The following is a 13,261-nucleotide window of genomic DNA, read 5'->3' as shown; positions in this document are numbered from 1 at the left end:
TGGGAAGCCATTGGAAAAACGCTTGATGAGAGAAAGGAGGGAGAATGCAGCCCCTCTAAGCAGTGGGGAAATAGGAACCTGTAAAAAAAGATTGAGGAAGCTGTTAATGAACTGACAAAAAGTGACCACCAAAGTGGGGGGAATAAAAAAAGCAAGATGCAAAGTAGCATGTAGAGTGTGCTATCCATTTGTGCAAAAAAAAAAGGGAGAATAATATATGAATAATATATATTTCACTTTATGCACATAAGAATTTATTTGGTAGGATAAGCAAGGAACTGGGCCCCAAGGGTGGGAAGGAGACATCACTGTATATACTTTGACTTTTCTGTTTGAACCATGAACTATGTGAACAGGCTACTATTCAAAATGAGTGGGATGTTTTGTTTTGTGAGCAAATGTCAAGGGTTTTTGGTATAAGCTGGTAAAAACCATAGTTGGAGCTCTTTCCCCAGTCTTGACTACTTTTGCTCTGCCTGGCCCTCCTCTCCAGGCCCGGTCCTCCTCTCCTCCATTTCTCTTCTTTAAGGTCCAGTTAACAGTCTGCCTCTTCCAGGAAGCAAAAGTAACAGCTGATGCCTATACGGTACTGACCACGTGCCTGGCCTCGCTCTGCATGCTCTCATGTTGATCCACCCAAATGGTCTTCAGAAGAACCCAGTGCGGTAGGTACTAGAGAGATGGGGAAACCAAGGCATGGAGAGGTTATGTAATTTACTCAAAGTCACAGCTTGGAAGGGGCTGAACTGAGCTCTGAACCCAGGTCCCCTGCAGAAAGGGAGCTTCCACTTGCTGAGCACCTGTCATTCGTTTTAGCCATCTTGCCTTTAAGCATCATCTTGATGATAACTCTGTGGGGAGCGCTCATCTCATTTTCTGCATGAGGACGAGGAGAGTTAAAGGAATCAGTAGCTTGCCCAAAGTCACTCAGCAAGGAAGGGAGTTGAGCTTGGAATGTCGTTCTTCAAACTCCAAAGCCCTCTTCCCTTCCTAAAATGTCCCAGCCTGTGCCTTGCCCCCTTCTCCCTGCTGAGTAACCCCTTTGTGGATCTTGCAGCATTCAAAAGGTTGAAATGTTTCCTGTCCTAATGCGGATCATTAGGACCTCCTGGCCCTCTATCTGGCCCAGAGCATGTTTTAGTTTAATTTGGAATGTTGGGTCCCCTGCTTCTGGCCTCCCCACAGTGCCCCAGCTGATCCCACCATTGGTTGACACTGTCTGGGAGCCCCCTGAAGGCCAGGGGCTAAACACATCCCCAGCACAGAGTGGACTTGCCCATCAGTGTCTGATGAGTAAATAACTGATTAACCAGAAGGCTCCAGACTGGAGTTTGTTACCTCCCTATGCTGGACCTTGCTGGCATCTCCTTGTTATTATTGTGGTTATCAATACCAGTCATTTATTGAGTGCCCACCAACGGCCAGGCCAGACTATGCCAAAGATCCAGCTCCCTGGATCCTCAGAAGGGACTGTAGGGGCCAATGTTACACCATTTTAAAGGTGTGGAAACTGATGCTCACAGAGGGAAGTGGCTTGTCCCCACAGTCACTCAGCTAGTGAATGGCTTCAAACTACCCACATTCAAATCCAGAGCCACCTCCCAATGAGACCAAAATCCAGCCTGGGACAACTTCAGGGGCATTAGTGCTACTTTTGTTATAATTATTATTCCCAAATAATTACTCTTATTGAACTCTTTCTAAAATGGACCAGGCCCTGGGGTAAGCAGCTTCATGAGTATCCTTCCTTCGAGTCTTACAACTCCCTACCATGCAGTGATTAGGAGATCTGTCAATGAAGCGCTGCGACCAGTAACTGTGAGCTTGGAACAATGTCTTCACCTGTTTCCTCATCCGTAAGGAGAGCATCTGCCTCCCAGGAGGTAGATAAAGCATTACAACAGTGAGTGTGAGCATAGCGAGTGCTGTATAAATGTCAGCTCTTTAATCCCCATTTCACAGATGTGACAGGAAAACTGAGTCACAGGGCAAAGTCATAGAGTTGGGATTGGACCCATCTAACCCAAGGCTCTGCTCATAACTGCTCTGCCCCATTGCCTCCCTCTCACAGCATGGCTGCGAGCATTTAGCCAGCACACATGTAAAGAGTGCCCAATGGCACAGTACCTACAGCACTGTGGGGGCCTGATAATGTCGTGGACACCCCAGGTAGAGGGTTCATCTGTTCCCGCCAGCTCCCCTGCAGTGCCTCCCACTGGGATGAGAGTCTGGCCTGGTTCCGAATCTACGGGACTGCCTGCTCCAGCCAGCTGCTCCCTGGGAGTCCCCAAGCTTCTCAGCACTCCCTTGGAGGCACAGGGGTGGGGCACGGGGAAACTTCCTCCACCCACCTAGGGGCTGCCAGAGCCCCTGCCCACCCTCAAGAAGGGGCTTCCCCGCCCTGCACCAGCTGTGCAGACACCCTCTTTGCCTCTACAGGGGCAGGACAGGAAGTGGGGCAATGCCAAGACCAATTAAACCCGCCAGGGGAATTAAGGTCAGCAGGATGCAATTATGCCTGTTGGATTTAACAAGGCCAGAGGGAAGGTTTCTCCAGCCAGAGTTCACGGCTCCTTAGGCCTCTTGCCCTGTGTAGCTCTGCCTTCCAGGAGCCTAGGCTTCCAGGCTCACCTAGCTCTGGAAGAATGTGTTGGGGGTGAAGGGGTTAACTTCACCCAGGCACTGCTTCCTTGGCTCTGGAGAGGAAATCAGTTCAGCCAAGAGGCTTTAAAAGGACCTGTTCGGAGAAGTCATGCCCAGTCTGACCCTCTCCCTGCCCAGCTGTGATGGAAAATCCAAAGAGTTGAGCAACAACCTTTCTGACTCCAAAGAGAGCAGCCAACTCCCCTCACAGCCTTCCCTCTGCTCCTGTTTGAGAGCCACTCAAGGCTGCATTAGCACGTTGTTTTCTCTCGCCCTCTCCCACCTTGGACCCCTGAGCCCAGGGCCTTGGCAGGACCTCTCAGGCCTCTGGAAAAGCCCTAGGTAAGGTTGCTGTCCTTACAGCAGACCCTGTCCTTCCAGCCAAGCTAGTAAGCAGAGGTCTGTGGGCGTTCTGTGTGCAAATTGGACATAGGTTTCTCCGAAAACGCAATTGACACACTGTTCCATCCCACAGTTATAGAATTTTATTGCTAAGATTAATTACTGGGGGCTCTACTGTGACAAGGACTAAACTGGTCACTTTCAGGACACAGAGATGAAATTGGGGGAGAGCTATAGAATCACTGCATATTACATTTTAGGTGAAAAAAGACTATAAAAATCAACCATGCCTGTAATCCTAGCATGTTAAGAGGCCGAGGCTGGAGGATCACTTGAGCCCAGGAGTTCACGACCAGCCTGCGCAACATGGTGAGACCCCATCTCTGCAAAAAAATTTAAAAATTCGCCAGGCGTGGCAGTGCACACCTGTGGTCCCAAGCTACTCAGGAGGCTGAGGTAGAAGGATTGCTTGACACCAGGAGGTTGAGGCTGCAGTGAGCCATGATTGTGTCACTGCACTATGGCCTGGGTGACAGGGTGGGCCCCTGTCTCAATAAATAAATTAAATAAAAATCAGCCATAGAGCGGGATCCTTTTTGTTCAAAATATTTACAAAGAAGATGGCTGGAGGGATATAAATGGACATATTTACAGGCGTAGAAATAGAGATTATTTTTATTCTTTATTCATCTAGATTTTCCAACTTTTTTGGAAATGACTTGTAACTCTTAATCAGATCAATAAGTAATTCCAAATATATCAACGTGGACACAGATTTCTTCAGAGAGAAAATGGTAAGAGCTATAAAACACCATGAAAGGACTTCTTGGCTCAGGGCCTCAGAGAACTCGCAATTCAGCTACTGCAAGGCTTTCTCAGTAACTAAGCCCCAGAGTTGGTTTAAAATGAAGCCTCCTGGCTGGGCGAAGTGGCTCATGCCTGTAATCTCAGCACTTTCGGAGGACAAGGCAGGCGGATCACTTGAGATCAGGAGTTCAAGCCCAGCCTGGCCAACATGATGAAACACCATCTCTACTAAAAATATAAAAATTAGCCGGGCATGGTGGTGAGCACCTGTAATCCCAGCTACTCGGGAGGCTGAGGCATGAAAATCACTTGAACCCAGGAAGCAGAGGTTGCAGTGAGCCAAGCTTATGCCACTGCACTCCAGCCTGGGCAATAGAGCAAGACTAAGTCTCAAAAATAAAAATAAAATAAAAAATAAAATGGAGCTTCCTTGGAATGAGGCCCCAGAAATGTCTATAAACCAGCATTTCAGGTGATTTTTCATGCACATCCAAGTTCAAGAACCACCAAGTCAGAGAGCCAGCTCTCTAGAAAGCATCCTGAGAGCCTTGGAAGAGGGAACAGATTTGAGGCACTGTCCTGACAGTCACCCTGGTGCAGTCAGTGGAGAGCTTCCAGGATTCATATCCCTATAACCCAGGGCCACACTTCTCAACCCTGATGCACACTGAAAACACCTGGAGAGTTTCTACAACTCTTGAAGTCTGAGCCCCTCCTCAGCTCAGACCAATTAAGAACATTTGGAGTGGGGCCCAGAATGTTGGTATTTTTAAAAATCTCTCCAAAAGATTCTGATGTGTGGCAGGGTGAAGAGCCACTGATCTAAGGCTTTCCTAGGACAGGAACTTCATTTTCTTTTTTGTATGTTTCTTTTTTTTTTTTTTTTTTTGAGCCGGAGTCTTGCTCTTTTACCCAGGCTGGAGTACAGTCGTGCAATCTCTGCTCACTGCAACCTCCACCTCCTGGGTTCAAGTGATTCTTCTGCCTCAGCCTCCTGAGTAGCTGGGATTACAGTTGTACACTACCATGCTCAGCTAATTTTTTGCATTTTTAGTAGAAACAGGGTTTCACCATTTTGGCCAGGCTGCTCTCAAACTCCTGACCTCAAGCAATCCACCCACCTTGGCCTCCCTATAATCCCAAAGTGCTAGGATTATAGGCGTGAGCCACTGCGCCCAGCCAGAAACTTCAATTTCTGTTTCCCTTGAATGCCCTCCAACATAAGGTAGGAAAAATAGTACACACAGCAGGTATTCTTTCTGACGGTGTTGACTGGGTACCCCATCCCAATATCTGAGACCCTTGGAGTCCAGATGCCAGTGCAAAACAGATGCAGACTACATCACATTCAATTTCATATCCCAAGTACCTAGTACAATACGTGGTGCTGTTGTGGTTAGTAGTAATAGCCACTAACGTTCATTGTGTATTTACAATGTGTCAGACAGAGATATTAACTCTTTTAATCTTCAGAGCAACCTTATGAGGTAGATACTATAATCACTCCCATTTCCAAAAGGAAACTGAGGCACAGAGGAGTTTCAGAGGTAGTAAATGGCGGGCTGGAATTTAAATCCAAACTCTCTTGCTCCAGAGCCCTCACATTTAATTACTACTCCGTACCACAAAGCAATGCCCATTGAAAAATAAATTCATAAGTGAGTGAAGAATCAGTTTGGTTGCCCTAGGGCCTGACATTCAGTAGGTGCTCTGTAAATGTGGAAGAATAAATGCACCTACTTGGTAGGACCCTGGAACAATGGGAAACCAAGAGCAGCCCCTCCTTCATTCCTCCTCTCCCATTCCAGCCCAACTTCTGCAGCATAAACAGCAAAGCCAAAAATAGCGATCTAATGACGTCAGACGAACAAGGTCATCTGAAAATTGCCCACAGCCACTGGACACCTCCCTATAGGATCAAGTAGCAGGAGGGTACCCCAGGCTGGTGCAGCTGTTCCAAGAACAGGAAACGTCCCGGGAGCAGACTTGGAAGCACCATCACATAAAGGCAGAAGCAGTAGGGGGAAACCACAGACATACCAAACAGTAGAAGCAAGACCAAGTGTGGAGTATAGACCTAGAAGATAAGAGTAATTCGACTTTATCTGCACTAGAAGTCACTCCCATCACCCGATCCCAGGAAATGGCTCGAGGAGCAGAGAATGCATGTTCTGTCCTCTTACACAGGACAGCTTCCCAGCCTGCCATTGCGCTATTTATAAAACTTCAGGTCCGTTTGCTAAACTGGGCTACCATAAGAACCAGGGGGTGCATGGCAAGCTCTGAGCAGCTGCTGGGGGAAGAAGACCCTGCCTGAGATGGTGAGGGGCCTCCAAATAAAGGATGAGGGGTGGGCTAGGCAAGGCACCTCCTGGCTGCAATCCACTTGGCACGGTGACCACCTTGGCTATCATTCAGGCCTGCTGAGGCTTGTGACTTAACTGACTGGCAGCTGCCACATCCCTGACGGGATCCAGCATGGTCCGAGATGCCCGCTGTGCTGACAGGGTGAAAGCAAGGAGAGGACCTGCCTCCCAGTGTCTGAGAAGCTTAGCTGGAGGTTCCCACAGCAAGGTCAAGAGTTCAGTGAGGGCTCCAGCTCAAATCCAGAAAAAGCCAGGCCCTATCCTCCTGGAGCTGGCTCTGGTCAAGGGATGCAAGTTGCTGCGGTAGAAAGGACACTGGAGGGCAGATGGACGTGGGTCCAAATTCTGACTCTGCCATTTATTAGCAGCATGACTTTGGATGAGTAACTTAAACTCTGAGCCTCGGTTTCCTCATCTGTCATATGACTTGTTGGAAGAACATATGGAAAAGCATTCTTCCCTCCGTCTTCATTCTGGGAATGGAGTCTTGGCTAAGGAGATAAAACATCCACTCAACAAGCTCAGCAGCTCTCCCGTGTCTAACTCAGTCAGACTGTACAAAGGTGACCCCTCAAGGGGCTGTGGAAGGGAGGAAGATGTTCTCACCCTGAGACAGGCTCTTGACTGGCTGGGCACTAAGGTCACAGGAGAGTGGCTGCTGGCTCCTTGGCCCATGGGTACCTGCATTAGGAGACCTGTTGTCTGTCAGGATTTGCAGGTCCCTCTCCTGGCACAGTGGTCCTCACACTTAGGCACGCATCACTGTCCCCTGGAGTGCTTGTTAAAATATACGTTGCTGGGCCCCACCCTCAGCGTGCCTGACTCAGTAGGTCTAGTGTGGGAATAAAGAATTTGCATTTCTAGTCCCTGATGATGCTGTTGCTGCTGGGCCACAGACCACACTCTGAGGACCACTGTCTTAGAGAATAAAAGTCCCACAGGCCAAGATGCTTAGGCCTCTGAGTAGCTCACAAGAGTAGCGTTGTGGTGTATGTGGGGAAACACAGAACACTGAGACCCAGTCATCAGTACAGCAAATGTTCCAAGGAGAGAGAGATGCACAAAAAGTGAAGCTCTGGCCTGGCGCGGTGGCTCACGCCTGTAATCCCAGCACTTTGGGAGCTTGAGACCAACCTGGCCGACATGGTGAAACCCTGTCTCTACTAAAAATACAAAAAAAATTAGCCGGGCCTGGTGGCAGGCACCTGTAATCCCAGCTACCCGGGAAGCTGAGGCAGGAGAATTGCTTGAACCCAAGAGATGGAGGGTGCAGTGAGCCGAGATGACACCACTGCACTCCAGCCTGGGCGACAGAGCGAGACTCTATCTCAAAAAAAAAAAAAAGTGAAGTGGTTTCATGAAGGGGAGGCGCACTGGCAACCCCTCCCAGCTCCTGAGTGACTGTGTGCTCTGTGTTGCTTCCCCCATTCGTTTTCTATTGCTGCAGTAACAAACTACCAAGAGAGAAAAAGCCTCTCTTGCTTGAACAAACTCCCATGAACCTCCTCCCCTGCAGAGATGTCTCCCTGCTTCTTTTGGCCAGCTGTTAACTAGAAGCTGCTGACCCTATCCTGTCAGGTTGTTAGCTGTGGGAAAATAGCAAAGGCCTCTGGCAATCCTTGGTGACACAGCCACTGACAACACTGAATATGTGACTCAAGCACGGCCACTCTGAGTCACACTGGCTAGCTGGGTGGGTAACAGTCACCATTGCTGCCCACAGTGCCTTTGGGGCATGGTAAGGCGGGAGAGAAATTCCCCTCCACTGTGCTAGAGGAAGGGTCCTTTCTAGCAAGATCATTCTAACTTCTATGAGGAGACTGAGACCCAGAGAATATAAACAACATGTTCAAAGTCACAAAGCGAGAGCAGCTCTCCCAGTTCCCAATCTAGGGTTTATTCCATGAAATAATTCTGTATTTCTCTTGAACCCTGTGCCAGTTATCCAAAAATAACCCAGGTCTCCTTGTCCATGAACACGTAAAAACTGAATCGCAACGGAGAGAAACAGAAAAAGAACAAGGTAAAGTCCATTTTATGGTGACATCCTTAAACTGCCTCCAACAATAGAAGGATTACTTCCAAAATAATCTCAATCTTGGGGGGGAAATCATATCTTGGATGGGAAGGACTTCTTTGTGGCAGTCTGCAAGAATTCACTGAACATTCTATGCAGTCTTTAACCAGTTCCAAGGTCAAGAAAAACATCAGAAAATATGTGTGCGTGTCAAGGGGACAGAATTATTCAGGGATTAGTCCCCTGGAGTGATCTGGGCTAGATTTCCGTTTCCAGAACAACCCTTGGAAAGTCCTCAACAAGATAGAACACTGGTCTCCAACATACTTCGTTGAAGTCCACATGGAAACCCAGGGACAGGAGAGCTTGCTCTCTTGCAGGGATTGAACAACTGGCTATAGAAGACATATAAATATAAAAGTAGGGCTGGTTTGGCTTAAAAAACTGCCTAGAAAAAAATCTAAAAATATTTAAGCTGAAAGGAGCCTTATTAATTGTTCCAGCTCAATCTTATTTGACGGATGTGGAAATTGAAGCCCCCAAAAGAGGAATAACTTGTTAAAGGTTACCCATCATTTCTCTAACCGGAGTGAGATTATAATCCCACCCTTCTTCCCAAAAGACACATCACAGCCCCAGGTAGAGTCTTTGTTTTGTTTTGTTTTGCTTTGTTTTGTTTTTCTAGATGGAGTCTTGCTCTGTCGCCCAGGCTGGAGTGCAGTGGCATGATCTTGGCTCACTGCAACCTCCGCCTCCCAGGTTCAAGCGATTCTCCTGCCGCAGCCTCCTGAGTAGCTGGGATTACAGGCGCCTGTCACCACGCTTGGCTAATTTTTGTATTTTTAGTATAGACAGGGTTTCACAATGTTGGTCAGGCTGGTCTCAAACTCCTGACTTTGTGATCCACCTGCCTCGGCCTCCCAAAGTGCTGGGATTACAGGCGTGAGCCACCGCACCCAACCTCCTGGTAGAGTTAAGAAAGACTAAGAGCTTTCTCCTTTCAAATCTGATCTAAAGTAGAGACAACAAATCTACTTGAAAATGTGGCATCCCAAGACTTTAAAGAACATAACTAGAATTATCTCCAGAAAGGCTTTGTTAAATGCCAATGAACGTTGTCTCTGGACATGGGTGTTAGTAATGTTGACATCATATCAGCCAAAAAGAGCTTTCCATTCAGCAAATGTGCAAGCCAGGATAATGTCATTAACTATGCTTTTGGGAAGGGCTTCTATTCACTTTCAAGCTTATATTTTAATTACAAACATAGACTGGTAAGTGGTTTGAGAACCACCATTTAAAGTTTAGAGACAGCAGACACCAGGACTCCACAATGGCATCAGTCATACCAATGAAGAAGAAACTCATTCATGGATGTCATATTAGTAGAGCTGCCAAGCTGGATACTGATTTTACCACCAAAGGCATTGTTGAAGCGTTTCAAAGAGGTTACCACAGATACTATTAAATACAACAAGCATGACAACATGAAAAAAGGGAGTGTCACCAGGGTTTCCATGGTGCTGGCAGCTTACGTGCCTTTTGGCCACTGCCTTTCTTATAAGGAGCTCAAACATAAGAACCACCGAAGAGGGGCCAGTGTGGAGAGCACACTCCGCACTCTTGACCATAACCTCCTTGGCCCAGAATCCCTCCATGAGGAATGTGATCATTGCTGAATCTTTTTATCCAAATGAAAATAAACCTCCAAATAAAAGATGACTAGTAAACAATAATAATAATAAAGTTTAGAGACAAACATGATGTGTTAGGGGGAAGCAAATGCAGACAATTCTGTCCTGCAAATAGAGCTAAGAAAAATCCTTTGTAAAATAAGCACTTTCAATGTGGAGAAGCAAACTCAGAACAATGGAATAGCATCCTGCTGTTAAAATTGGTATTTACAAAGTATGCAATAATACAGGAAAAATGAGTTACTATTATGCTAAATGAAAAATAATACCAGCTGGGTGCTGTGGCTCACGCCTGTAATCCCAGCACTTTGGGAGGCCGAGGCGGGTGGATCACGATGTCAGGAGTTCAAGACCAGCCTGACCAACATGGTAAAACCTCATCTGCACTAAAAACACAAAAATTAGCCAGGCGTGGTGGTGCGTGCCTGTAATCTCAGCTACTCAGGAGGCTGAGGCAGGAGAATTGTTTGAACCCGGAAGGCGGAGGTTGCAGTGAGCTGAGATCATGCCACTGCACTCCAGCCTGGGCAACAGAGGGAAACTCCGTCTCAAAAAAGAAAGAAAAAGAAAAGAATACTATATATATACATATACATATATATATATACATACACACACACACACACACACACATATATATATATATAGAGAGAGAGAGAGAGAAAAGCTCTACTATGTATAAAACCAAAGTTTTACAAAAGAAAAAAAAAAACCCCACTCATCTGTGTCACAGAGTGTCCCTGAGTATGGTGATAGAGGTGCGTCAGTGCAAGGCTACAGCCTTCTCCTCTCTCTTCACCACTAAGCAAGCTTAAATAAGGCTGCCCCAGACTGCTTTTCACATTACAAGTTATGACCACTGACTAGTATCTTGACCCACTGGAAATGTCTCCCACCCTTGCTCCTGAAAGAAGACCTGAGACCATCAGTGCCCAAACAAGCTGGGCAATAGCACTTGGATGCAACTCTTCATGCATTCACACACCTGCAATGTTCTGGGACACCAGTCCCATGCTATGTGGGTCTCTTCAGATCTGACAGCCCAAGTTTCTATTTCCTCTCTGACCAATAATGCTTTAAAAAAAAAAAAAAAAAAAGGTGGGGGAAGGGCATTTGATGCCATCAGACCAGGTTTAGTCTGTTGAAATCATTCTTTCATGATAAAACCTAGTACTTGCTTAGGCCTTTCCCCTGACCCTCCTGGTCTGAGTGAAATGTCAGCATTTGTGAAGCTGTTTCAGGAAGCTGATACTTTCAGCACATAGAGCCATGGTTTGGCCTGAGCCCAGACTCTTATTCATTTACGAGGAGAATAGCAAAAATCATCAAACATTTCCAATGTCAGCAACCTTTACTACAGCTTTAGAAAATAGAGTAGGTGTGCAAGAAGACAGGGAAACAAGTAAAAAGCATGCTTTTGTCCCCAGGCTTTTTTGTAGCAACTACACTGGCTTCAGCTGGATAACAAATTGTCCTGGAATTCTTGGCTTTGGAGCAAACATGTCAGCTCCCTGGTTACGCCTTCGTCATTGCCCAAAGTACCACACACTTTAACCTTCCTGCTCTTTCCATAGGCCTGGGTTTGTCCCGTATCCAGGAAACTTTATATGTTGTCTAAACTGAGCATCCCAGCAGGCTACGAGGCAGATGGCAGCTCAGGATTCAGAATGTTGACCAATTCCTACCTGGATCCACACCACCAAGCTGTAACTCAGCCTGCCTCTGCAGAAATAGGAGCCCAGCCACGTGGCTAACAGCTTTTTTAACTGCTGCTCTCAGCAATGAGGAACTTCCCCAGCAGACAAGATTCAGTAAGACGGCCTTCATCGAGAGAAATGAAAAGGAAGCAATATCAAGATTGATCCAACAGGATATACAGGTTCAACCAAACACTCAAGACAATACGCAAGCCCCCAAAGCTCAATTAAGCCAGGAGGAGATGAGGACCAGGTGCTGCTACCTTGCCCTCTAGTCCTTGGGACCTCAGGTCACAAACCCAGGACATCATGCAGGTCTGCCTCCATGTCACTAGATTGTCATAAGAGGCTTCATACTTGTCAGGAAGGAAGCCAGGACATGCCTGAGGTGGCACCTGAACTACATCTTTAAAATGCACAACATGTATGAAAAAACCAAGGTACAGAGTGTAAAGTATGATGCTATTTGTGTAAAAAAATAAGAGAAGGAGGGTAGGTAGGAGTATGTATAGGAAGAAACAGTCTCTGCAAGGGAACTTAAGAAACTGGCAGCACTATCTCTGGGGAGGGGAGCTGAGCAGTTGGGAAGAAAAGGCAGGAGGAAGACTCTACGTTTGTATCTTTTCAATTCAGAACTATGTGAATGTATAACCTTTTAAAGAACAAATTAAAATTTTTAAAAATGCATAATGCTACTACTATCTTATTTCTTTTAAAAAAAATGCTCTATGTGTGTGCTCAGAGAAAACATTCTGGAAGAATCCTATTGCGAACCATGGGTTACACTGGGACGTGGGAGTAGGGGAAGGAAGGAGACTTTCGTGTTTTATTTCATACAGTTAGTAGCATTTTACTTGTTTCCAAAAGGCAGTACTACTTTTGCAAATTTTACTTTAAAAAAAAAAAAAAAAACCTTTACAAACTGCAACCTCACTTTCAAAAACAATCCCTAAACTCCCACAGCACTCTGTCTCACATTACTGAATCACATCCCATCTTGTGTTACGATTATTCGTGTCCAGGTCTCATCTCTGTTAAATGCTGGAGCAACTGCAACTTTGTTCTGTCTACCATGCTGGCTCCACTTCCCAGGGACAAGACTCTAGAAAAAAGACCTGGTAAGGAATAAAACAATCAAAATGGTAACCAAGCAATTACACAGGACAAAACAATCAACCAAAGCTAAGAGTGAGCAGTAATCTTATACATATATTAATTAGTACAAGAATATCGCTGGGCGTTGTGGCTCACGCCTGTAATCCCAGCACTTTGGGAGGCCGAGTCAGGCAGATCACCTGAGATCGGGAGTTCAAGACCAGCCTGACCAACATGGAGAAACCCCCTCTCTACTAAAAATACAAAATTAGCCAGGTGCATGCCTGTAATCCCAGCTACTCGGGAGGCTGAGGCAGAATTGCTTGAACCTGCAAGGCAGAGGTTGCAGTGAGCTGACAACACGCCACTGCACTCCAGCCTGGGTGACAACAGCAAAACCCCGTTTCAAAAAAAAAAAAATATCAGCAATAGGAAATCATGGCCAAGTTAAAAATGCACTGAAAACAAAGCAGCATGCTTCCCAGATTTCCCAGAATTCCCAGGAATTCTGACAATCTGCATGTGTGTATGTGCTAGGAGCTTTGCAAAATAGCCAAGCAAAGGCCAGGCATGGTGGCTCACACTTGTAATCCCAGCACT

General features: G+C 46.4%; 1 pseudogene, besides 1 other annotated feature; it reads left to right on the top strand.

Moving 5' to 3' along the window:
• Positions 1,784-2,586: an enhancer, noted in NCBI's record as "H3K27ac-H3K4me1 hESC enhancer chr20:30403487-30404289 (GRCh37/hg19 assembly coordinates)". NCBI's record gives its function as "activates a minimal SCP1, AML or CMV promoter by ChIP-STARR-seq in naive H9 embryonic stem cells {active_cell/tissue: H9 hESC(naive)}" and the evidence as "EXISTENCE:reporter gene assay evidence [ECO:0000049][PMID:30033119]".
• Positions 9,521-9,767, top strand: ATP5MFP7 (ATP synthase membrane subunit f pseudogene 7; annotated as a pseudogene).

This window comes from Homo sapiens, chromosome 20 (genome assembly GCF_000001405.40).
Source record: "Homo sapiens chromosome 20, GRCh38.p14 Primary Assembly".
Taxonomy (NCBI): Eukaryota; Metazoa; Chordata; class Mammalia; order Primates; family Hominidae; genus Homo; species Homo sapiens.
The sequence above is the reverse complement of the archived record's forward strand: the minus strand, read 5'-3'. Positions and strand labels throughout refer to the sequence as shown.